This window comes from Homo sapiens, chromosome 12 (genome assembly GCF_000001405.40).
Source record: "Homo sapiens chromosome 12, GRCh38.p14 Primary Assembly".
NCBI classification, from domain to species: Eukaryota; Metazoa; Chordata; class Mammalia; order Primates; family Hominidae; genus Homo; species Homo sapiens.
The window spans coordinates 42,640,615-42,665,966 of NC_000012.12; the positions used below are offsets into that span (position 1 = coordinate 42,640,615).

General features: G+C 40.6%; 2 long non-coding RNA genes across 3 annotated transcripts in view; one reads left to right on the forward strand and one right to left on the reverse strand.

Moving 5' to 3' along the window:
- LINC02402 (long intergenic non-protein coding RNA 2402) overlaps positions 1-5,884 on the reverse strand; it is a 30,996-nt gene extending 25,112 nt beyond the window's left edge. The window contains exons 1-3 of the long non-coding RNA NR_110042.1: positions 5,656-5,884; positions 3,613-3,680; positions 2,703-2,810 (exon numbers count right to left, since the gene is read on the reverse strand). This is a non-coding gene — a long non-coding RNA (long intergenic non-protein coding RNA 2402). The remainder of the gene's footprint in view (positions 1-2,702; positions 2,811-3,612; positions 3,681-5,655) is intronic.
- Positions 5,885-5,968: 84 nt separating this feature from the next.
- Positions 5,969-25,352, forward strand: part of LINC02451 (long intergenic non-protein coding RNA 2451) — a 40,119-nt gene continuing 20,735 nt past the window's right edge. For both annotated transcript variants that reach the window (NR_135027.1, NR_135026.1), the window contains exons 1-3: positions 5,969-6,040; positions 6,489-6,625; positions 11,846-11,969. This is a non-coding gene — a long non-coding RNA (long intergenic non-protein coding RNA 2451). The remainder of the gene's footprint in view (positions 6,041-6,488; positions 6,626-11,845; positions 11,970-25,352) is intronic.

A 25,352-nucleotide genomic window follows, 5' to 3' on the forward strand; every position in this document is an offset into this window, starting at 1 on the left:
TTAAATTTTCTGAGCATTTATTTATACTTTCATTTGTAGTACGTCTGAAAGGAAAATGCAAACTTTTAATTGGACTGACTTGGTAACTTGGTTCAGTGATAGGCTGGGTTCAAAATTGCTCCATCCCCGTTTATCAGATGATTACAGTTTAGGTGGGTAGCAAATTCTGCTTTATCTTGGAGATACACAGTTTAAGAGATTTTCTAGTCTTCATTCATTACCATTTCTTCTGAATTCATCTCTGGTGAACTAAGGAAGACTTCTTGCTGTATGATTAGCCTACTGAACATGATGATGCATTCCTGAACAGACATGGGAAAGGCAGGTGGATAATAATAGTCTACAGCACTTTTTGTTTATCCAGAAATCTGCCATCCCCAGGAGGTTGACATATAATCCCATACTTAATCTGTCATCCATACTTTATGTAATAATAATAATAATGATAATGATAATCATTTACACTTATATAGCCACTTTCATCTAGGGTATCTTAGAGCTTTACAAACACTAATTAATTCTCCTGGTCTCCCTGTGAACTAGGTAAGGCCCGTTTTACAGGTGAGGCATTTGAGGCACAGAAAGGACGAATGGCTTTCTCAAGGCCCTTGGGTACTGAATGACAGAGAGCTCTGTACTTCCAGTTGTCTAGAGCCAGCTGCATCTTCTGGGTGAGTGAGTGGGAGGGACCACACCAGAATAAGGCCTTCTAAGACTTGGTTACCTAAACCCTAGTAGTGCATAGAAGCTCTGGGAGAGTTTCCAAAGTATGTGCTTTTTCATCCCCAGCACACACATGCACAGCCTGTGAGTGGTTGTTTTTGAGGTCTAAGCAGTAGAGGTGGAGTTAAAGTTGGCTGTCATATATCTTTGGATAGGAAGGAAAGGAAAGAACGTGGGCAGAGAATTGCATTTTAAGTGGATGTTGCTGAGATGTATCAGCCTACTCTACACTGAATCAGAGTAATCCTGACTTTTGACTTGTTTTATTCTGTTCCACTACATGAACCATTTGATATGTACATAACAAGGATGCAATGATTAAAGAGAGTCCAGTATGCAATTGGCAAGGCACCTAATGGAAACTAGCTTCTCACTGTTTCCAGGCATTTTAGTTTTAGAGAATCCTTGAAATTCTCCCAAATGGGTGGTGCTGAATTCAGGGAAAATGATGTTTAATGAGTGCTTCTCTCTCTCTTTAATTGCAAGAAGAAATAGACAAATGAGGGCTTATCAAATGTTAATATGCATACCAGTCACCTAGGGATCTGTTAAAATACAGATTGTTGCTTAGTAATTCTGGAGTGGGGCCCAAGATCATGCTTCCAGTTGATGCCCATGATAATGGTCCCTATAGCTTGCTCTGAATAGTGAGACTCTACGCTACTGTTTACAATTCCGATGAGCTTATTCCCACAACATACTGCTCTGGAGGAAGCTTCGGTCAATTGGAGTGAGGCCTGGGCTTACAGGACCAAGGCCTGGTTTGGAAAAGTGCTTCTGCTCTTTATTATCTAAGAGGTTTGAGACCCCAAACCTTTCAGAGCCTCAGTTTTCATATCTTTAAATGAAGATCATTAATTGCTCCTTTGCAGATTTGTTATGCAGATGAATAAAATAACCCAGGTGAAAGAGTCTGGCACGTGCTGGCTGGGTGCGGCGGCTCACGCCTGTAATCCTAGCACTTTGGGAGGCTGAGGTGGGCCGATAACTTAAGGTCAGGAGTTTGAAACCATCCTGGCCAACATGGTGAAACCCCGTCTCTACTAAAAATGCAAAAAAACTTAGCCAAGCATGGTGGCACACGCCTGTAATCCCAGCTACTTCGGAGGCTGAGGCAGGAGAATCGCTGGAACCCGGAAGGCGGAGGTTGCAGTGAGCCGACGTCATGCCACTGCACTCCAGCCTGGGCAGCAAGAGTGAGACTCCGTCTCAAAAAAAAAAAAAAAAAAAAAAAAGTTTGGCACATGCTATAACTCCACAAATGTTGATTCATTCTCTGGGCTCCCCAACTTACCCTGTCTGGTTACGTTCTCTAACAAATACTTTATAGTTTTCCTTCTGTATCTGCTGTAATTAATAACTATATTTTATCTATCTTGGCTTTTTCCTATTATTTTACCTCTGGATTCTTTCTCTTAAACATGTATAAGCCAGCATCAAATGTTAATATGTCTCTCAATATCAAAATGCTTTCCTTGAGCTAATTTCTTGTCTTGTTAACTATTATAAACTTACCTCTGCCTTCCTGGGTTCTAATTTGATCTAGGCCATGCAACACAAGTGAGACTGTATGGTATTCATTTAGTAAACAAATATTTATTAAGCACCTACTATGCTATGTTCTGATGCCCTGGGTATACATACCACTGAGAATAAGATAGAGACTTTTTGTTTTCCATATTGTTTTTGTTGCCTCTGTTTAACTGTTTGAGCAATAGCGAAGTCTTTCTTTAATTCTCCATTTATTGATGAAGACTTTCTCTCATTTTCTTCTAGTTCCATTTTTGTCTTTTCCTCTTGCCCACACTTATCCTTTAGATCTTTTCCCTCTGAATCCATCAGACTGACAAGAAAATTCTTTCCTAAAAAGTCTTTACAAAACTCATATTGTGTGAAATGGTTTTAATTTTTAATAAAAAGCAACAGTGAAAGTTAAGTATTGTATACGCATGGGAACAAATGTCTGGAATAACACATACCTCACTGTTAACACTGGAACTGGTGAGAGGAAACTTTCACCTTTATCTTTATGTACTTTGGCATTTTGGGGAAAAAAACTCTCCCCCTTACAGTCAGCAAATTGTATTCTGTAACACAGAAAAGAAAATGAGAAAAAGTATGGGCCAGGCATGGTGGCTCATGCCTGTAATCCTAGCACTTTGGGAGGCTGAGGTGGGCAGATCACCTGAGGTCAGGAGTTTGAGACCAGCCTGGCCAACATGGTGAAACCCCATCTCTACTAAAAAGAAGAAAAAAATACAAAAATTAGCTGGGCGTGGTGGCATGTGCCTGTAATCCCAGCTACTCAGGAGGCTGAGGCAGGAGAACTGCTTGAACCTGGGAGGTGGAGGTTGCAGTGAGCCGAGATTGCACCACTGTACTCCACGCTGGGCAACAGAGGGAGACTCCGTCTAAGAAAAAAAAAAAGTATAGATTGATGGACGACAAAAGGAAGGTTGAAGAAAAATGAAATGAAACTTACAATCTTCAAATTTGCCCACATTCCCACCTGTAGTTTTATGTCTCAATTGCTGAGTCTGTTATTTAGGTTTCAAATCACTGGTTTGGAACCCCGTCTTCCTGGGATTATGCAGTGTCAAGAACACTGTTGACATGAAAGCAATACTAATAGTAAAACAAGAGGAGGCATTTTTACAAGACACAGCACTACCCAGATGGATTTTGATAAGGTTGGTATGTACCCCAAGAGGTCATAATTAACCACATCAAAGAAGGAGTGGCTTCTTAAGCAAATGGACTTTATCTTGCCATCTGCCAAAAAATGTACCAAATGCTCTTACTTTGTTAAAAAATATCTGCACTTTTGGAACCAAGTCTTCGTAGCTTTGAACTGACAAACGTGATTGAAGAAATACTTTTATTACTTACACATTTGACCTCTCATTCTTTATTTGGCACCTTGCTTCTCTTATGTCCTCCTCGCTTGGACACATCATCTACAATTTACATAAATGAGAAAGTACTGGGTCATGGCTTAATTGGGAACAGAGAGGAGTTATCTGATAAAAACAGAGCAGGAAGAATTTAATTTCCCTAGCTCATGGTCAATTTTCATCCTACCAGCTGGCATGCTGGATTAAGTAGTTGTTAGAGAATTGAATTTAGCAAATCTAACGTAGGCAAAACTGCGTTAGAATTTATGTAGGACTCAACCTGGTTTCTGATTAGAATCCTCTGAAGAGGTTTTTGCAGATTAAGCTTGATTTAATTGGCTAACTTTGGAATTAATAAAAACAACAACCAAGGCCGGGCGCGGTGGCTCACACCTGTAATCCCAGCACTTTGGGAGGCCGAGGCGGGCGGATCACGAGGTCAGGAGATCGAGACCATCCCGGCTAAAACGGTGAAACCCCGTCTCTACTAAAAATACAAAAAATTAGCCGGGCGTAGTGGCGGGCGCCTGTAGTCCCAGCTACTTGGGAGGCTGAGGCAGGAGAATGGCGTGAACCCGGGAGGCGGAGCTTGCAGTGAGCCGAGATCCCGCCACTGCACTCCAGCCTGGGTGACAGAGCGAGACTCCGTCTCAAAAAAAAAAAAATAAAAAAAAAAACAACAACCAAACAAAACAACAAGCACAAAACACCTCTCCAGGTATCTCTAACGTGTAGCCAGGAGAGCTACTTCTGGGACTGAGCCAGCCTTATACGAGGTCTTTGGACTACACAGCTTTTAATTAGAGACCACATGGTTCTCTTAAGGAATAATAGATACTCTTCAAATTTATTCTTTCCTGTGATTTTTAGTTTCAGGTACATTTGAAAAATAATCATAGGTGTAAATGAATAGATTGGAATGGCCCAAGAATGTACTGAACATTTACAATTGTGTTTCAGCCTTGGTACTTTTACTTTATGTATATAAAACTCTAATATTATATTTCTCTGTAATTAATACTTATTTCTTAAATGTTATTTAATGAAGTAGTTCACCTTTATTTCTGCAATGATTATTAAATTATCAATCTTTTTCAAATGCAGAATAAAAATTTGCCTACCCTTGACTGTAAGTTTCTGGCTAGCACTGGAGTTTCTTTCACTGGAGGCATCTTCCTTAGATTCTTTGCCTGCCTCTTCTTTTTGGTGGTGCCATACTAGTTAGACACACCTCTACTGTTTCTCTTAGATTTAATAAAGGTGTTGGAGGCTATTCTTGCTGTTTTGTGGTTTTTATTCTATTTCTTCATTTCCAATATTACTTGGGGATATCTTTTTGTCTATGCTGTTCCCTATTCCACCCCTTTCCAGGGAGTTCTGGGCACAGCATTTTAGAATGTACAGAGATAAACCAGAATGTGCCTCATCATGCATAATCCACATGCCAAAGGACCTGCAAACCATGTTGGGTGATGAACATTTGAAGGAAATGAAGGCAATTGCCCAAAGAAATTATGATGTGAAATTATATGGTAAATGATAACTTCCTTAATATATTTTTCTTCCTTAATAAAAAGAATTGTCCTTTTTAATTATAGAAAACCCAGATCCTCCAAGGCCCTAACCCTGTTCCTTGATATGCAACTTTCTTTAGGTCAGGGATGATACTCATCATTCACCAGTGTTGCCACTTCCTCTGTTGTATTCATGATTGATAGGAGTACTAATTGATCAAAGCATTCTTTCCTGCTTGAATCTGGATGTGGCTTCAGGCAGCCACTACTAATTGATTGGTATTGGTGTTAAAAATGACATTATGTGTAATTCCTACCTTAAAGGTCTCTTGCTAATTACTGCTGCCAGGAGGATAATTCTGCCCTTTAACACCAAGGGGGCTTCATGATCTATATTTAAATAAGTCTCCTGCCATAATACCCAGATAACAGTTGAGACAAAACTAGAATATTTATTAAGACTGTAATTAAGTGTAAGTCACTAACAAAGTGGAAATAGAATAATATAAACTAGATAATCTTGCCTGTTCTTCCCTAATCCATCGTTAGCCTGGGATCCTCTAGCAGGATACCTCTTTGTATATCTCCTGGTTTTCCTCCATGAGGAAGAGAGAATTTTAAACTCCTAATCCTTTGGAATATTTCAGAATCTTCAGGACTTAAAAATTCAGATCCAAGAAAATGAAGTCCCAAGAGAGAGGAATTGTTCTATTTGTTGCTTTCTGAATTCTAGGTGAATTGCCTGATATTACTGAGGACTGGCAACAGAATGTTCATATGACATGTCTTTAAGAGAGACCACACTTAACTACAATTCTACTATGACCTCAAAATCCCAACATTCCTTCAGCAGAGCCACACTCTTAAAGATTATAAATGTTGTCTTCAAATAATTGAATATTTGAAGGTGTAAGTTTATTGCATATTTCTTCCAAGGGTCAGCTAGATCAGTGGGTAGAAATCAGAGGGGGGCCAGACCTGAGTTTAACAGAAGGTTATGTTTTCTACTAATAAGACATGCCCTAATGTTATTAAGCTGCCTTATGTTTTAGTGCTCCTAGTCATTGGAAAGATTTAGACAGTCTGGATTGCCCTGTGCCAGAGATAGAGTTGAGTGGACTCCCTTAGCAGATGGAAAATTGAACTTAATCTCCCTTCCCTTATCAAAGAATCAGGAGATAAGAAGATTCAAATATTCAGTTATTTGAAGACAATATTTATCAAAGAATCGAAGACAACATTTATCAAAGAATCGGGAGATTCTTTGATAAGTTAGGTATAGCTACCCTACACGGTACAGCAGGAGTATTTATAAGGAGGTAATCTATAAACCATTTGAACTTTTCTATCCTGACAGTTGCTGGCCAATGCAGGACTGATTATAAGTAATGATGACACATCTGTAACTTCTAAATGGGAAGGTCTTCGAATGGGATTGAAAAGACAAAGTGATGAAAAAATAATTGTGATAATACATACTGTTCCAGGTTTTAAGTGAGTACAACATAGCTGCATTATAATATAAAATTGTACAACTTAAAAATACACATATATGCAATCTATAATTACAAGTTTATGTGTACAACCTAGTCTATTTCTAAAAGAATTGTTCACATAATTTTGATCTTAAAATTGTAAGATGGAATATTATGTAACTAACATAACACTGCTACGGAAAATATATAATGTTGTGGGGAAATATTCACACACTACTGAAGAAAAGCAGATCATAAAAATAACATGAAGAATGATTCTACTTTTGATGGGGAAAAAGTATACATTTATGTTTTTAAATATAGATTAAAGGTGCTTTTAATTTTGTAAGAAAAAGAAGACTGGAAGGATGTACCTCAAAAAGTTAATAATGGATATTATAGGGGAGTAGAATTAAGGGTGACTTTTGTTTCTATTTTAAATGTTTTCTAAAATTTCCAAAGTTCTTAAAATAAGCAGACATTACCTTAGTGTTATCTTAGTTTTATATTTCTGCTGTAACAAATTATTACAAACTTCATAGTTTAAAAAACATGAATGTATTATCTTATGGTAAGATAATGTATTATCTTATAGGTTAAGAGTCCAATGCAAATTTCACTGGGTTAAAATAAAGGTGTTTATTGGGTAAAATCAAGTGCTGCATTCCTTTCTGGAGGCATTAGGGGTAAATCACTTTCCTCACCTTTTTCAGTTTGTAGAGGCTGCCTGCATTTCTTGGCTCATGGCCCCCTTCCTTCGTCTTTGAAGGCTGCGAAGTTGCATCTCTCTGACCATTCTTTCATAGACATATCTCCTCTGATGGGCTTCAACTAGAAAATGTTTTCTGCTTTTGGCATTCTCTTGATTAGTTTGAGTTTACCTAAATAATCCAAGATAATCTCCACATCTCAAGCCCTGTATCCTTAATCACACTTGTGAAGTCCCTTTTGCCAAGTAAGGCAACACAGTCACAGGATTCGGGGATTATGACATGAATATTTTTGGTGGGGGAATGCATTATTCTGCTTACCACATGTGGTCGGGAAAAGAAAACATTTGTAAAAATGTGTTGAATCCCTACTGAACTCATTCTTTCCAATAGAAACGAAGTCATACATGAGGCCATTCTCCAGGCTAGTCATCAGAGCCTATGTGACCCATGATAGAGGGGATTTTACTTTTTCAGTAAACTTGTTCAAATGGTCCTGTTAGTGCTCTTACACATCAGTACCTGAAAGAATGAACAATAACAAGTTCAAATGGTTTATAGATTACCTCTTTACAAATATACCTATGGTACTGTGTAGATTCACTATATGTAACTTATCAAAGATTCTCCCTCTGAAAGGGAGATTTAGCTCAATTTTCCATCTAAGAAGGGAGTCCATTCAACTCCATCTCTGGCACAGGGCAATCCAGACTTTGTCTAAATCTTCCCAGTGACTGGGAGCACTCTATAACATAAGGCAGCTTACTAACATTAGGGCATGTCTTATTAGTAGAAAACATATCCTTCTGTTAAACACACATCCGGCCCCACTCTAATTTCTACCCACTGGTCTAGCTGACTGTATCAGGAGAATGTATTCAGAGTTCCCAAGTGGATGCCAGGAACATAACCCTACCCTTTTTTTTCTCAGCCTCTGCTTTACTCTCTTCTTTCTCCCTTATACTTATTTTTGCCTCTCCCGTCTCCTCATATGTTCGGGAATACTGAGTGGAGATTCCGTTTTCAGTCTTTAGGTGGTGATCCCCATGGCCTGTGGCATGAGTTCAAGCAGGATGGGGGTAGGAAGTGAGGAACAGCTGAGGAATTAGATGAGTTTGAGAGAAGGTAGTTGTGGGACCTCTTTTTTGGTGTAAATCTCCGAAGGTATCCTGGGAGGCTCCCGTTTCTCTCCTTCAGTTTTCCCAGTGGCCCAAGTGATTGATTCACCTGCTTCTTTTTACCTATCGCCACTAGTGTCACTGAAGGCTTCTGTTACATTAAAAGAAAATCCTTAGCTAAATTAAATTTAATGGAGTTTATTTGAGCAAAGAACGATTCGCCAATTGGGCAGCCTCCAGAGCCCAGGTAGGCTCAGAGACTCCAGTGCACAGCCACGTGGTGGAAGATTTATGGATGGAAAAAGGAAAGTGACATATGGAAAATGGAAGTGAGGTACAGAAACAGCCAGATTGGTTACAGCTTGGCATTTGCCTTATTTGAACAAGGTTTGAACAGTTGGTTTCCTTTGATTGGCCAAAACTTGGTGATTGGCACAAGAGGAGGCTATAGTCTGTTGACACATCCAGTTAAGTTACAGTTCGCTATGAACAGAGAAACCTTTATGCAGAACTTAAAATATGTAGGGAGGCACCTTTAGGCTACACTTGACTTAACAGTTCTTACTTGCTCACCATGGAACAAAACAGTTGTTCATACAAACCAGAGCCCTTCTGGAGTTTTCTGAGGGCTTTTCTATCCAGCAACTGGGGACAGAAAACTCTCACATGCTCCCTTCTACTTATCTTGTGTTCGGGTTATGTAGCTCCAGGTGCTAGGGAAGGAGCGTTGCACGGAAGGGCTGCCTTAGAAGCTGGGGCATGGGGAAAGGCCGGCAAGAGGCTCCGCTGTTGGGCCAGGCAGTGGCAGGTGTGAGGGAGAAAGTCTGCTTTCCCTCTGTGGGGTGAGCTTTCCTCCAGCCTAGGCCAGCACAATCCCAGTCCCAGGTGGGTGGATCCCAATAAACAGAGCAAGTCTGTCTCCTTACAGTGTTCCAAAGATGGCGAGTGTATTGTTTTCTCATGTTCTGAGCTAGCTCTGTAGTTAGTTGAGGAAGTGTCTGGAGAAGGCTTTTCAAGGACAAGCCTCAAGTTGTCCTCTTTTTTGGCATTTAGGGGGAACATTGCCCCTGACTGGGAACTAGGGCTTGCCTCCTGATGATTGCAAGCCAGAAATAAAATCCTAAACCCTCCAACTGACTGAACTGAACAGACCCCCTCTTGGCTGAGGGAACCCCAGAGAAACCCAAAAAACGAAATTCCAGGCCATGCCAGGAAGGGAGGCTGAACACACCTTGTTGTACTCTTTTGGGGTTTAGGTTAAAATAGAGGTCACAAGACTGGCAAAACAGAATCTTTGTGGCAATGGGATACCAAATTACAAAGAAGACCTAAGGCCATGCAAGGCAGGGGTTAAGTCACATCCTACAAACCATAAAATCTGCCCTCCCCCACTTTTTTCTGAGGCAGTCTCCCTTTGTCACCAGGAGTGCAGTGGCATGATGACAGCTCACTGCAGCCTTGACTGCCTGGGCTCCAGGGATCCTCCCTTTTCAGCCTCCTGAGTAGCTGTGACTACAGGTGTGCACCACCATGCCAGGCTAATTTCGTATTTTTTGTGAAGTCAGGGTTTTGCCATGTTGCCCAGGCTGGTCTCAAACTCCTGAGCTCAAGTGATCTGCGCACTAAGTGCTATGATTACAGGTGTAAGCCACTACACCTGGCTTTGTATTGATTTATTAATTGGTCTACAATTCCCATCTCCCTAACATGTATATAACCAAACTGTAACCTGACCACCTTGGACACACTTTCTCAGGACCTCTTGAGACTGTTCCCTGGGCCATGGTCACTCATACAAGTTCACAGTAAGCCTCTTTAAAATATTTTAAAGTTTGGTCTTTCCATTAACACGATGATGAGGAGGATGACAAGTAGCTGCCATGTGCGAGTGCTTACCATGTTTTAGACTGTGCTGAGTGCCTACCTGAATCTAGTTAGATCTTCATGATGATAGTATGACATAAGAACTATTTTATCATTATTATGTGTCAGTGATTTCAAAATAACACAGAAAACATATAACGCTATACACTAAGTTAATGATATATGTAAGCCATGCAAAAAATATTGAGAATAAAATACACTGAATAAAGCACTGAAGTCATACAAAGGGCTTAGCTATGGTTGTGCTAAGCCTTGGAAAAACAGGTGGAATAAAATCCAGAGTCCTCTCTCCCTCTTTCCCCCAATTTACTCTCTTTGGATGGACCACACTGCAGCCGCTCTGGTGCTCTTTCTATCCCTAAAACACACCCAGCCTATTAGAGGCCAAATAGTGCCCTTTCAGTCCCCTAAAGTCATATGCCCAAGTCCTAAGCCCCAGTACCTCAGAATGTGACTGTAGTTGGAGATGGGGCCTCTACAGAGACAGTTAAGGTAAAATGAGGTCATTGGGGTGGGCCCTAATCCAATATGACGTATACTCAATACGACCATGATATTATGATGTATATATTTTGGGTTTTGTCCATGATTCCGGGTTCTCAGCTCCTGTAAGCCTTGCTGTTTCCTAAGTGACTAGAGCAATAAGAATATCTTTTGTTAAATTATTTGGCCTTTTGTCCTGGGTTCTTGAAACACCCTAGAAACAGCTTCAGAGAAGTGAGGGAGAAAGATGTTTTTTTGTTATTCGTAACAAAGCCTTTTCAACCACATCTGAGCTGGTGTGAATGAGGTGATTTTTGGAAACTCAGGGTGGGCAAATGATGGGGTGCTCATTGCCAGGGGAGAACTAGCCATGTGGTCAGCCCCACACTCCAACCACCCAACAACCAGGGAGGGGAGAGAGGCTGAGGTTTAAGTTGATTACCAATGACTGATTGATTTAATTAGTCATATCTGTGTAACAAAGCTTTCATTAAAACCCCAAAAGAACTGGGTTGGAAGAGCTTGTGGATAGCTGAGCATGCGAGAGTTTCCAGGAAGATGAACAAGAAGACATCCACGAGCTGGGAGGGTGGTGCACCCCAGCTCCACCCGGACAGAAGCTCCTGGGCTCATGACCCTTCCAGATCTTGCCCTATGCCTCTCTTCATCTGGCTGTTTATTTGTATCCTTTAAAATATCCTGTGTAATAAACCAAGTAAGTGTTTCCCTGAGTTCTGTGACCTGCTCTAGCAGCTCGTGGGAGCCCTGGTTTATACTTGGTGAGTCAGAAGCACGGGCAAAATAACCTGGGGCTTGCAATTGTTGTCAGAAGTGGAGGGCAGTCTTGTGCAGCTGAGTCCTCAACCTTTGTGATCTGATGCCCTCTCCAGGTAGATATTGTCAGAATTGAGTTGAATTGGAGGACACCCCGCTGTTGTCCTCTGTGCAATCACTTGCTTGCCGATGGGAGAAATCCCCACACATCTGGTGTCACAGGCGTGTTGTGAGAGTATAGAGGAAAATGGTTTGCTTTTCCACCTATAGACACATACAGAGGGAAAATGAGGTGAAGACACAAGGAAAAGACAACCATCTATGAGCCAAGGAGAGAGGCCTTAAAAGAAATCAACCCTGGCATCTTGATCTTGGACTTCAAGCCTCCAGAATGGTGAGAAGATTAATTCTGTTGTTTAAGTCGCCCTGTCTGTGGTGTTTGTTATAGTAGCCCTAGCAAAATAATACAAAGCCTTTTTCTGTGCTAGGAACTTTGTGCTTTGCATTTTCTGGTTGGAAATCTTTGTTCCCATGCTCAGTTCAAATATTCCCCCCTCACAGAGGCTGTCCCCACCTGTCAACTGAAATTACTGCCCCCACTCCCAACAGTCAACCTCTTACCAGCAACCCCCAGCACAGGAGTCTGTTCTGTATTTTTTATACTTCTATTAGCACCTGATATTATTTACTTGTGTTACTGTTTATTTTCTCTTCCCTGATCCCTTCTAGAATGTAAGCGCCTTAAAGGTAGCCTCTAGTTCATTTTTATGAAATAAACTGCTGTCAGTTCAGAGCCAGGGTCTGGTGATTAAAAAAAAAAAGAAGAGGAAATAACCTTATTATTATTATTTTTTTATTATACTTTAAGTTTTAGGGTACACGTGCACAATGTGCAGTTTATTACATATGTACACATGTGCCATGTTGGTGCGCTGCACCCATTAACTCTTCAATTAACATTAGGTATATCTCCTAATGCTATCCCTCCACCTTCCCCCCACCACACAACAGGCCCCGGTGTGTGATGTTCCCCTTCCTGTGTCCATGTGTTCTCCTTGTTTAATTCCCACTTATGAGTGAGAACATGCAGTGTTTGGTTTTTTTGTTTTTTTTGTTTGTTTGTTTGTTTGTTTTTGAGACGGAGTCTCGCTCTGTCGCCCAGGCCGGACTGCGGACTGCAGTGGCGCAATCTCGGCTCACTGCAAGCTCCGCTTCCCGGGTTCACGCCATTCTCCTGCCTCAGCCTCCCGAGTAGCTGGGACTACAGGCGCCCGCCACCGTGCCCGGCTAAGTTTTTGTATTTTTAGTAGAGACGGGGTTTCACCTTGTTAGCCAGGATGGTCTCGATCTCCTGACCTCATGTTCCACCCGCCTCGGCCTCCCAAAGTGCTGGGATTACAGGCGTGAGCCACCGCGCCCGGCCCAGTGTTTGTTTTTTTGTCCTTGCGATAGTTTGCTGAGGATGATGGTTTCCAGCTTCATCTATGTCCCTACAAAGGACATGAACTCATCATTTTTTATGGCTGCATAGTATTCCATGGTGTATATGTGCCACATTTTCTTAATCCAGTCTATCATTGTTGGACATTTGGGTTGGTTCCAAGTCTTTGCTATTGTGAATAGTGCCACAATAAACATACGTGTGCATGTTTCTTTATAGCAGCATGATTTATAATCCTTTGGGTATATACCCAGTAATGGGATGGCTGGGTCAAATGGTATTTCTAGTTCTAGATCCCTGAGGAATCGCCACACTGACTTCCACAATGCTTGAACTAGTTTACAGTCCCACCAACAGTGTAAAAGTGTTCCAATTTCTCCACATCCTCTCCAGCCCCTGTTGTTTCTTGACTTTTTAATGATTGCCATTCTAACTGGTGTGAGATGGTATCTCATTGTGGTTTTGATCTGCATTTCTCTGATGACCAGTGATGATGAGCATTTTTTCATGTGTCTTTTGGCTGCATAAATGTCTTCTTTTGAGAAGTGTCTGTTCATATCCTTTGCCCACTTTTTGATGGGGTTGTTTGTTTTTTTCTTGTAAATTTGTTTGAGTTCATTGTAGATTCTGGATATTAGCCCTTTGTCAGATGAGTAGATTGCAAAAATTCTCTCCCATTCTATAGGTTGCCTGTTCACTCTGATGGTAGTTTCTTTTGCTATGCAGAAGCTCTTTAGTTTACTGAGATCCCATTTGTCAATTTTGGCTTTTGTTGCCATTGCTTTTGGTGTTTAAGACATGAAGTCCTTGCCTATGCCTATGTCCTGAATGGTATTGCCTAGGTTTTCTTCTAGGGTTTTTATGGTTTTAGGTCTAACATTTAAGTCTTTAATCCATCTTGAATTAATTTTTGTATAAGATGTGAGGAAGGGATCCAGTTTCAGCTTTCTACATATGGCTAGCCAGTTTTCTCAACACCATTTATTAAATAGGAAATCCTTTCCCCATTGCTTGTTTTTGTCAGGTTTGTCAGAGATCAGATAGTTGTAGATATGCAGCATTATTTCTGAGGGCTGTGTTCTGTTACAATGATCTATATCTCTGTTTTGGTACCAGTACCATGTTGTTTTGGTTACTGTAGCCTTGTAGTATAGTTTGAAGTCAGGTAGCGTGATGCCTCCAGCTTTGTTCTTTTGGCTTAGGATTGACTTGGCAATGCAGGCTCTTTTTTGGTTCCATATGAACTTTAAAGTAGTTTTTTCCAATTCTGTGAAGAGAGTCATTGGTAGCTTGATGCGGATGGCATTGAATCTATAAATTCCCTTGGGCAGTATGGCCACTTTCACGATATTGATTCTTCCTTCCCATGAGCATGGAATGTTCTTCCATTTGTTTGTATCCTCTTTTATTTCATTGAGCAGTGTTTTGTAGTTCTCCTTGAAGAGGTCCTTCACATCCCTTGTAAGTTGGATTCCTATGTATTTTATTCTCTTTGAAGCAATTGTGAATGGGAGTTCACTCATGATTTGGCTCTCTGTTTGTCTGTTATTGGTGTATAAGAATGCTTGTGATTTTTGTACATTGATTTTGTATCCTGAGACTTTGCTGAAGTTGCCTATCAGTTTAAGGAGATTTTGGGCTGAGATGATGGGGTTTTCTAGATACACAATCACGTCATCTGCAAACAGGGACAATTTGACTTCCTCTTTTCCTACTTGAATACCCTTTATTTCTTTCTCCTGCCTGATTGCCCTGGCCAGAACTTCCAACACTATGTTGAATAGGAGTGGTGAGAGAGGGCAACCCTGTCTTGTGCCAGTTTTCAAAGGGGATGCTTCCAGTTTTTGTCCATTCAGTATGATATTGGCTGTGGGTTTGTCATAGATAGCTCTTATTATTTTGAGATACGTCCCATCAATACCCAATTTATTGAAAGTTTTAGCATGAAGGGTTGTTGAATTTTGTCAAAGGCGTTTTCTGCATCTGTTGAGATAATCATGTGATTTTTGTCTTTGGTTCTGTTTATCTGCTGGATTACGTTTATTGATTTTCATATGTTGAACCAGCCTTGCATCCCAGGGATGAAGCCCACTTGATCATGGTGGATAAGCTTTTTGATGTGCTGCTGGATTTGGTTTGCCAGTATTTTATTGAGGATTTTTGCTTCAATGTTCATCAGGGATATTGGCCTAAAATTCTCTTTTTTTTGTTGTGTCTCTGCCAGGCTTTGGTATCAGGATGATGCTGGCCTCATAAAATGAGTTAGGGAGGATTCCCTCTTTTTCTATTGTTTGGAATAGTTTCAGAAAAAATGGTACCAGCTCCTCCTTGTACCTCTGGTAGAATTCGGCTGTGAATCCATCTGGTCCTGGACTTTTTTGGGTTGGTAAGCTATTAATTATTGCCTCAATTTCAGAGCCTGTTATTGGTCTATTCAGAAATTCAACTTCTTCCTTGTTTAGTCTTGGGAGGGTGTATGTGTCAAGGAATTTATTCATTTCTTCTAGATTTTCTAGTTTATTTGCATAGAGGCGTTTATAGTATTCTCTGGTGGTAGTTTGTATTTCTGTGGGATTGGTGGTGATATCCCCTTTATCATTTTTTATTGCATCTATTTGATTCTTCTCTCTTTTCTTCTTTTTTAGTCTTGCTAGTGGTCTATCAATTTTGTTGATCTTTTCAAAAAACCAGCTCCTGGATTCATTGATTTTTTGAAGGGTTTTTTGTGTCTTTTATCTCCTTCAGTTCTGCTCTGATCTTAGTTATTTCTTGCCTTCTGCTAGCTTTTGAATGTGTTTGCTCTTGCTTTTCTGGTTCTTTTAATTGTGATGTTAGGGTGTCAATTTTAGATCTTTCCTGCTTTCTCTTGTGGGCATTTAGTGCTATAAATTTCCCTCTACACACTGCTTTGAATGTGTCCCAGAGATTCTGGTGTGTTGTGTCTTTGTTCTCGTTGGTTTCAAAGAACATCTTTATTTCTGCCTTCATTTCATTATGTACCCAGTAGTCATTCAGGAGCAGGTTGTTCAGTTTCCATGTAGTTGAGTGGTTTTGAGTGAGTTTCTTAATCCTGAGTTCTAGTTTGATTGCACTGTGGTCTGAGAGACAGTTTGTTATAATTTCTGTTCTTTTACGTTTGCTGAGGAGTGCTTTACTTCCAATTATGTGGTCGATTTTGGAATTGGTGTGGTGTGGTGCTGAAAAGAATGTATATTCTATTGATTTGGAGTGGAGAGTTCTGTAGATGTCTATTAGGTCTGCTTGGTGCAGAGCTGAGTTCAATTCCTGGATATCCTTGTTAACTTTCTGTCTCATTGATCTGTCTAATGTTGACAGTGGGGTGTTAAAGTCTCCCATTATTATTGTGTGGGGGTCTAAGTCTTTTTGTAGGTCTCTAAGGACTTGCTTTATGAATCTGGGTGCTCCTGTATTGGGTGCATATATATTTAGGATAGTTAGCTCTTCTTGTTGAATTGATCCCTTTACCATTATGTAATGGCCTTCTTTGTCTCTTTTGATCTTTGTTGGTTTAAAGTCTGTTTTATCAGAGACTAGGATTGCAACCCCTGCCTTTTTTTGTTTTCCATTTGCTTGGTAGATCTTCCTCCATCCCTTTATTTTGAGCCTATGTGTGTCTCTGCCCGTGAGATGGGTTTCCTGAATACAGCACACTGATGGGTCTTGACTCTTAATCCAATTTGCCAGTCTGTGTCTTTTAATTGGAGCATTTAGCCCACTTACATTTAAAGTAATATTGTTATGTGTGAATTTGATCCAGTCATTATGATGTTAGCTGGTTATTTTGCTCATTAGTTGATGCAGTTCCTTCCTAGCCTCGATGGTCTTTACAATTTGGCATGTTTTTGCAGTGGCTGGTACCAGTTGTTCCTTTCCATGTTTAGCACTTCCTTCAGGAGCTCTTTTAGGGCAGGCCTGGTGGTGACAAAATCTCTCAGCATTTGCTCATCTGTAAAGTATTTTATTTCTCCTTCACTTATGAAGCTTAGTTTGGCTGGATATGAAATTCTGGGTTGAAAATTCTTTAAGAATGTTGAATATTGGCCCCCACTCTCTTCTGGCTTGTAGAGTTTCTGCTGAGAGATCAGCTGTTAGTCTGATAGGCTTACCTTTGTGGGTAACCTGACCTTTCTCTCTGGCTGCCCTTAACATTTTTTCCTTCATTTCAACTTTGGTGAATCTGATAATTATGTGTCTTGGAGTTGCCCTTCTCGAGGAGTATCTTTGTGGCATTCTCTGTATTTCCTGAATTTGAATATTGGCCTGCCTTGCTAGCTTGGGGAAGTTCGCCTGGATAATATCCTGTGGGGTGTTTTCCAACTTGGTTGCATTCTCACCATCACTTTCAGGTACACCAATCAGAAGTAGATTTGGTCTTTTCACATAGTCCCATATTTCTTGGAGGCTTTGTTCATTTCTTTTTATTCTTTTTTGTCTAAACTTCTCCTCTCACTTCATTTCATTCATTTGATATTCCATCACTGATACCCTTTCTTCCAATGGATTGAATCGGCTACTGAGGCCTGTGCATTCGTCATGTAGTTCTCATGCCGTGGTTTTCAGCTCCATGAGGTCCTTTAAGGACTTCTCTGCATTGGTTATTCTTGTTAGCCATTTGTCTAATTTTTTTTTCAAGGTTTTTAACTTCTTTGCCATGGGTTCGAACTTCCTCCTTTAGCTTGGAGTAGTTTAATCATCTGAAGCCTTCTTCTCTCAATTCGTTAATGTCATTCTGTGTCCAGCTTTGTTCCATTGCTGGTGAGGAGCTGCATTCCTATGGAGGAGGAGAGGCACTCTGATTTTTAGAGTTCCCAGTTTTTCTGCTCTGTTTTTTCCCCATCTTTGTGGTTTTATCTGCCTTTGGTCTTTGATGATGGTGACGTACAGATGGGGTTTTGGTGTGGATGTCCTTTCTGTTTGTTAGTTTTCCTTCTAACAGTCAGGACCCTCAGCTGCAGGTCTGTTGGAATTTGCTGGAGGTCCACTCCAGACCCTGTTTGCCTGGGTATCAGCAGCGGAGGCTGCAGAACAGTGGGTATTGGTGAACAGCAAATGTTGCTGCCTGATCGTTCCTCTGGAAGTTTTGTCTCAGAGGAGTACCTGGCTGTGTGAGGTGTCAGTCTGCCCCTACTGGGGGGTGCCTTCCAGTTAGGCTACTTGGGGGTCAGGGACCCACTTGAGGAGGCAGTCTGTCCATTCTCAGATCTCCAGCTGTGTGCTGGGAGAACCACTACTGTCTTCCAAGCTGTCAGACAGGGACATTTAGGTCTGCAGAGTTTTCTGCTGCCTTTTGTTTGGCTATGCCCTGCCCCCAGAGGTGGAGTCTACAGAGGCAGGCAGGCCTCCTTGAGCTGTGGTGGGCTCCACCCAGTTCGAGCTTCCTGGCCGCTTTGTTTACCTATGCAAGCCTCTGCTATGGTAGGTGCCCCTCCCCCAGCCTAGCTGCCGCCTTGCAGTTTGATCTCAGACTGCTGTGCTAGCAATGAGCGAGGCTCCGTGGGCATAGGACCCTCTGAGCCATGCGCGGGATATAATCTCCTGGTGTGCTGTTTGCTAAGACTGTTGGAAAAGTGCAGAATTAGGGTGGGATTGACCCGATTCTCCAGGTGCCGTCTGTTACCCCTTTCTTTGACTAGGAAAGGGAATTCCCTGACCCCTTATGCTTCCCAGGTGAGGCGATGCCTTGCCCTGCTTCAGCTCACACTTGGTGCACTGCACCCACTGTCCTGCACCTACTGTCCAACACTCACCAGTGAGATGAACTTAGTACCTCAGTTGGAGATGCAGAAATCACCCGTCTTCTGCATTGCTCAGGCTGGGAGCTGTAGACTGGAGTTGTTCCTATTTGGCCATCTTGGTTCCCCAACCCCTGGAAATAACCTTTGATAGAATGAACAGTTCTGATCCCCACAAGCCACTGTGCAAGGTCCATGAAATTTTGGTATCTGCTATGAGCAATCACAGACCATCATCAGTCTTTCATTATTCTCTTGCTCCAAGTTCAGGCCTTTAAAACATTCATTTTCATTAAATCATTTGATTTTTATAGGAGGCTTGGCTTTTCTCCAATATGCCCTGCAAATTCTCGTCTGTTATACTTACATTAAATTAAGCCTAAAGCTGCCTCTTTACATGTTTTAAGTTTGGTCCGAAAGTTTCTCCATATGTAGTGAACTGTAACCTAACAGGCTGCGTCAAATGACTGTAACCAACTCTTGCACCAATCACTGAGTTTTGGCCAGTCTAAGGTGAGCAACTGTTTAAACCGTGTTCAAATAAGGCACAGGCTGAGATGTAACCAATCCAGTGATTTTGGTACCTCACTTCCATTTTCCATACCTTGCTTTCCTTTTTCTGTCAACAAATCCTTTGTGACCACATGCGGAAGTTGTTCTGAACCTATTCTGGTTTGGGGGCTGCCTGACTGGAGAATTGTTCCTTGCTCAGCTGAACTCTGTTAAGTTCAGTTTGTCTTAAGTTCTTCTTTTAACACCTGTGAGCAACAATGGCTGCATCTTAAGTGAGGCCCCCTCACCCTAGTCTACACTTCTGCATGCTCTCCTGCATTTGTGTATGCTTTGGTTTGTGTGTTCTCCTTAAAGAGTCAGCATTCTGCATATCATAGTACTGGGAGGAGAGTATTAAGCCAGCTCTGGCAGGAAAAACAACTCTGCTTGGAGATAGAACTGAAAATAGATTTCCCCATTGGGCAGAAATACAGATGCATGAAATCTCTTGTGCATCCCATTTGATATTCCTGGCAGCAATAGTTCTGGGATCTTATTATTTGAATGCTTCTTGCCCATTGTGATGAGGACTACATATCCACACATGAATGTACATACGTACAGTAGAATATTAGAAATGGCAGAAATTCCATTTATTGTGTAACGAAACCCAATCTTTCCAGTCATTTACTAGTCAGGAGAGCTGGTCTCACAATTACATATGGAAATATTATATTTGAAGATATATGATCTTCATAATTTTGTTTCGGATATGGGTGAAAAGCAGTCTGAGAGCTACCAGATTAAATAAACAACAGTAATAATCTTTTTTATTCCTGGGAAAAGAAATGAGGCTGATTTGAAAAAGAACAAATCAACTTGTTAATGTTTCAAAAAATATCTCATTAGAAGTAAACACAATTTCATGAAAATTCCAGTGGTGTTTAATCTAGCTAATATTACTACTGCCTTGTGGAAACTGTAACACTCAGCTGTGTGACAGGTTGCTTTTCACAATGATTTGTGTCACAGGATTTTTCAACTTTTGAAACAGGGTAGAAAATACACAATTTTACTTTTTTTTGGTTAAAAGGAAGCTGAAGAAAAACAAGGACAAAATATTGACTATACAAATGAAAGCTTAAAATGAAAACAACACAAACCAAACTCAAAATACACTGAGGGTACCAATTTGCTCTTTAGAATTTTCTGGGATTATTGTTGCTTTAAAACTGTAGAGTAAACAAGGAGCGGTTCTCTGTGACTCATAGTTCCAGATTGACAGCTGTCATTTCTCTTTAGCAGATAAAGAGGCACTTCCTTTTTTTAGTTGTCAGCTGCTAAGGCAGTTTAGTGAGCACTGGAGAACCAGGTCAGGGTGAGCACACAGACTGCTGTAATGGCACAAAATCAAACCCCACTTTTGGACTTGGGTCTAACGGCAAAGGCAAGATTGAACATTGGAGCACTGATTAAAGTCAAACCTCCCAGTTTCAAGAGGTTTATTCATTTTTTAAAAGGCCTATTAGTAACTGAATGAGTTTACAGTTCTGAGTAACTGTATGTATGGTCTATAGTAAACAACCTAAACAGCTGTTCTAAATGAGTTCTTTATATTCAGCCTCTAGAAACTTGTAATTACATTTGAGCCAGGACATGTGATACCAGAAGATATAAAGCTATTTAGCCCCAACTGCCACTTGAATTCAGGCAAGGCAGTTCAGTAGGATCAGCGGAACACACAAGAAAATCACTGCCATTAATCATCTCTTAAAGTAGAACTGAAGAAAGCTTTTCTTTAAAAACAAATAGATTTACTCTTTTTTCATTAGTCCTGGGCTTTAAAAATAAATTGTGATGAGGTTGCATTTTCAGCAGCAATTGATCTTTTCTGTCTTACATTTTATATCTTGCTAGGTGATGTTAGGAAATTTTAGGCATAAATACTGTTATAGCAGTTCTCTTTAAAAAGTGGAGGCTCAAGAAGAAAGTTAAGAAACACCCTAATTTTCAACAACCATGAAATCAAGTGTGGGTTGCTCCAAGAATTTCTCCCCATCTCTAGCTACAAAAGCATGCTCTAGGAGAACACATGTATGCCCAATGAAATAGTTTAGATATTTGAATATGAACAATCTTTAAATAAACAGGCCATGTTTTAAATGTCGTTTATTTTAGCAAATATTGACAGATTTGAAACCTCTGTTTCCAGGTAGATTGACCAAAATCTAACAGTTACGAATAGTTTTACCAACCTGCAAAATCTTTATAAATTTTTTGACTCTTTCCATCATGAATTCATTCACTACTGAAAAGAGTATTTACTGAGACTCATTTGGTTCTACAACTAATAACAGTGAGCTTCAGGAGTTTGAAGTTTTTATTCATTTTTAGCAATATGTATTCAATTTATCTTAACATTCTTAGGATCTGTCTTCTGATTCTTTAGATTACAAATAGGTCCAACATAATTTCTTTTTCTTTTCTTTTCTTTTTTTTTTTTTTTGAGACGCAGTCTCACTCTGTTGCCCAGGCTGCAGTGCAGTGGTACACTCTCAGCTCACTGCAACCTCCACCTCCGGGGTTCAAGCAATTCTCCTGCCTCAGCCTCCTAAGTAGCTGGGATTACAGTCATGTGCCACCACACCCGGCTAATTTTAGTAATTTTAGTAGAGATGGGGTTTCACCATATTGGCCAGGCTGGTCTCAAACTCCTGACCTCAAGTGATCCACCCACCTCAGCCTCCCAAAGTGCTGGGATTGCCACCGTGCCTGGCAGTTCTAACCTAATTTCTTTCTGACCTTGGCTCTCTTGGGCCATGCCAATTACAGGTCAAGTCAACCCTTCCCTTAAAAGCCTGGGACACTGATTAGCATGAGCCAGAGCTGGAGAGCCACATGAAGGCAACGTATGGTGCCCAAATGGTACACGGCCACACGCTGTTCTTCAAGATGCACCTCATTAGCTTGTTTCTGATGTGGTACGTCGTTCTCCTCTATTTTCTCCAATTTCATACTTTTGCATTTTTAATCATTCTTTAAGACCCAGCTCAAATCATTTTTCTTCATGAAAGCTTTATTAATCTACTTTCTTCGTTCTCCCAATTTCCATGTATTTGTATTTTTCTTTCAGTGCACACCTAGAAGTGGTTGCATCTATGGTAGTCAGATTTTCTTCCTCTTGTGTTCCTATAGATCAAAAGTTCTTTGACAATAATATTGTTTCTCATTTTCTAGTAGCCCCTGCTGTCTTTCAAATGGAATGTGCCTGATAAATATTTGTTGATAAAGTTGGGAGGAATTGGATACAATATTGGCGTATGGATTGGCATATATTGGATACCATATATCTGGCATATGGATTGGCATACATTGGATACCATATATCTGGCATATGGATTTTATTTTTGCCTTTTTTTTTCATCCATTCCTGAAAGTAGTAAAAAAAAAAAAAAAAAGACCGTATCAGGACTACATTTATAGCCAAAGAGTCCTTGAATTAGAGTGAAACAACTGAGGCTAGAATTTAGCTCTTTATGTTAAATTTGTGGCACTAATTTTCCCAGTGGCAGTTGGGGAAGTCACCAACACAGACATAACGTCATTGCAAACCAGGAGGCCAAGCATAGCTGTGGGAAAGAAAGCCATGTTCAAAAGGAAATATCCAAAATAATAGAATGGAGGGTCTAGAAAATCGCCACCATGAATGCTGTTTTTGTGGGTCTCATTTTCCCCAAGGTTGCTCTGGTATGAAAGTCCTTCTTTAAGGAGATAACATAAAAATAAATAAGTGGTGGCAAAAAAAAAAAAAAAGCTCACTCTTGTAATGGCCTTGTGTGTTCTTTGGCTATTTCAATGTAATGTTTATCTAATAAATAGCATTTCAGTGTTAAACAGTAGAGCTGTGTCTCCGCTTCTATGCCAGAAGGCTGGACCTCCTTCAGGTCTTGCCATGCTCTTACTGCTGAAAAAAGTTCTGTTTTAATGAAAAGAGATACTATGTGGCTGGAGCCAGTACCAGTGATGCCTGCTTAACATTTTCATGCTTCCACATAGTACAGAAGTCTTCAGACAGTCACAGTTCACGTGTTTGTGTGTGATTACTATATGTATGGTCTATAGTAAACGTGCATGCATACATAAAAATATAATTTCAATAAAAACTGACGGTAAAAAGCACCCAGACAACCAGACAATACTTGTTGGAGATAGAATTCTATGTAAATGCTTCCTGTACTAAACAAGTTTATCAGAGAAAGGCATTGTTCAAAGGGAAATATCCTTTGTGTATGAAGATAAACGTAATAAGGATTATTGTGTATAATGTCCTTTGGCGATGTGTATTGGTGCATCTGTATAATAACTGAATAATTGTTCTGATGTCCATATTACAAAAAAGGAAGGAAAAAAGAAGACTAATGTGTGTGGTAGTGAAATTTGAAAGAAAGATGCTAATTCCAGAACAGAGCAAATGAAACCTATGTCCAATTACCTACCTCAACTCTTAGACAGTCAACATATTTTTATTTATTTATTTATTTTTTAAAAATAATAGATACGAGGTCTCACTGTGTTGCCCAGGCTGGTCTAGAGCTCAAACAATCCTCTTGCCTTGGCCTCCCAAAGTGCTGGGATTACAGGCGTGAGCCATCACGCCCAGCCTGGTCAACACATTTAGATGGTATTGGAGTCATTTTTGAGATTGGATTTCAGAAATGTAGTTGATCTCCAAACTTTGCTATTTTCCAGAGGAGGAGAATGTTTCTTGAGAATAGTAAAATGAATTTTTAGCATGGTAGAGTGAGGACATGGCAGGGACAAGGTAGGTCAAGGCGGGACAGGTTAAAGAGGAAGAAAACATAGTCCAGGAAAAATTGTCCAAACTACTGAGAAAAATATATGATATTGCCCTGTTCATTTAATCCACTTCTGTAAACTCAGAGGAAGTGTTTATGCGGTTCTAAGGCAGTGCTTCTACTCTGACAAGGTATGAGAATTTGTTTTATGGACCAAAGAGTTTCAGGGTGGAAAATGGGAAAGAGAAACTTGAAAGGGATTTGGTTGAGGTGTTGTCATCATCAGTCTGACCTCCTTAATAAACTTTGCATGTTCAATCATCCATTCCATTCATTTGGAAAACTATTAAGCTCCTTCTGGGAGCACAGGAAGGATCACTACCCTGAGATAAATAGGTCCTGTCTCTGAGGAACTTACAATCAGTCAGGTTTAAATTATGAGATCCATTATGCATAGTTCATGTGCTCTGCAGCTTGGGCTGATTTTAATATTGATGGACACAGACATGGTGTTTATGGGCAATGAATTGTGTTGACATGGCTGCCTTGTCCCCTCTTGGGGAACTGTCCTCACTGGTGGCCTTTGTTGCTTCCGCTGATTTCCTTAGGGCTCCCTTACTTGGTAACTTCCCTTGATCCAGCCTTCTCCTCTCTGTCCTTTCAGCAAATACAGCTGCCTTGTGTGCTGTTCTCCCAGAATTCAGAATCTATTTTATCTGAAAAACCTCTTGGTAAAGTGATAATGGATTCTTTTTCCTAGTTAGCATGTTTATATGGGAATAGCACAATGAAGACACCTGCTTTAAGCCTGGGGAAGGTCTCTAATGCTAACAATTTCAGGTCATGGCAGGCTAAGGGGTGGTGGTGGGGAGTCATCGGAACCCCTCAAATGGTAATCATACTCCATGGCTTCTGTCTGTATCCAGAGTGATGGTGGCGGATGTATCACTCTGGTTCCAAGAGCAACTAGAGAGCTTGTCATCTGTGCTGAGATGCACTCACTTCTGCAGGTTTTGTTCTCTCCCTGGGCCATCACTCCTCAGAAAGGGTGGAAGAACTCTGGAAAATTTTCACCTATGGTCTCTTCAAATACTAGTTTTCTGCTATTCCCACCACTCAGTGTGTGTTTGTTTTGGATTATTTAAATTCACAAACAGTAAAGTCGACATTGACTTTGATTTTTTATCCTATGAGTGATTTTTTTTTTTTTTTTGAGACAGAGTCTCCCTCTGTCACCCAGGCTGGAATGCAGTGGCGCAGTCTCAGCTCACTGCAATCTCTGCCTCCCGGGTTCA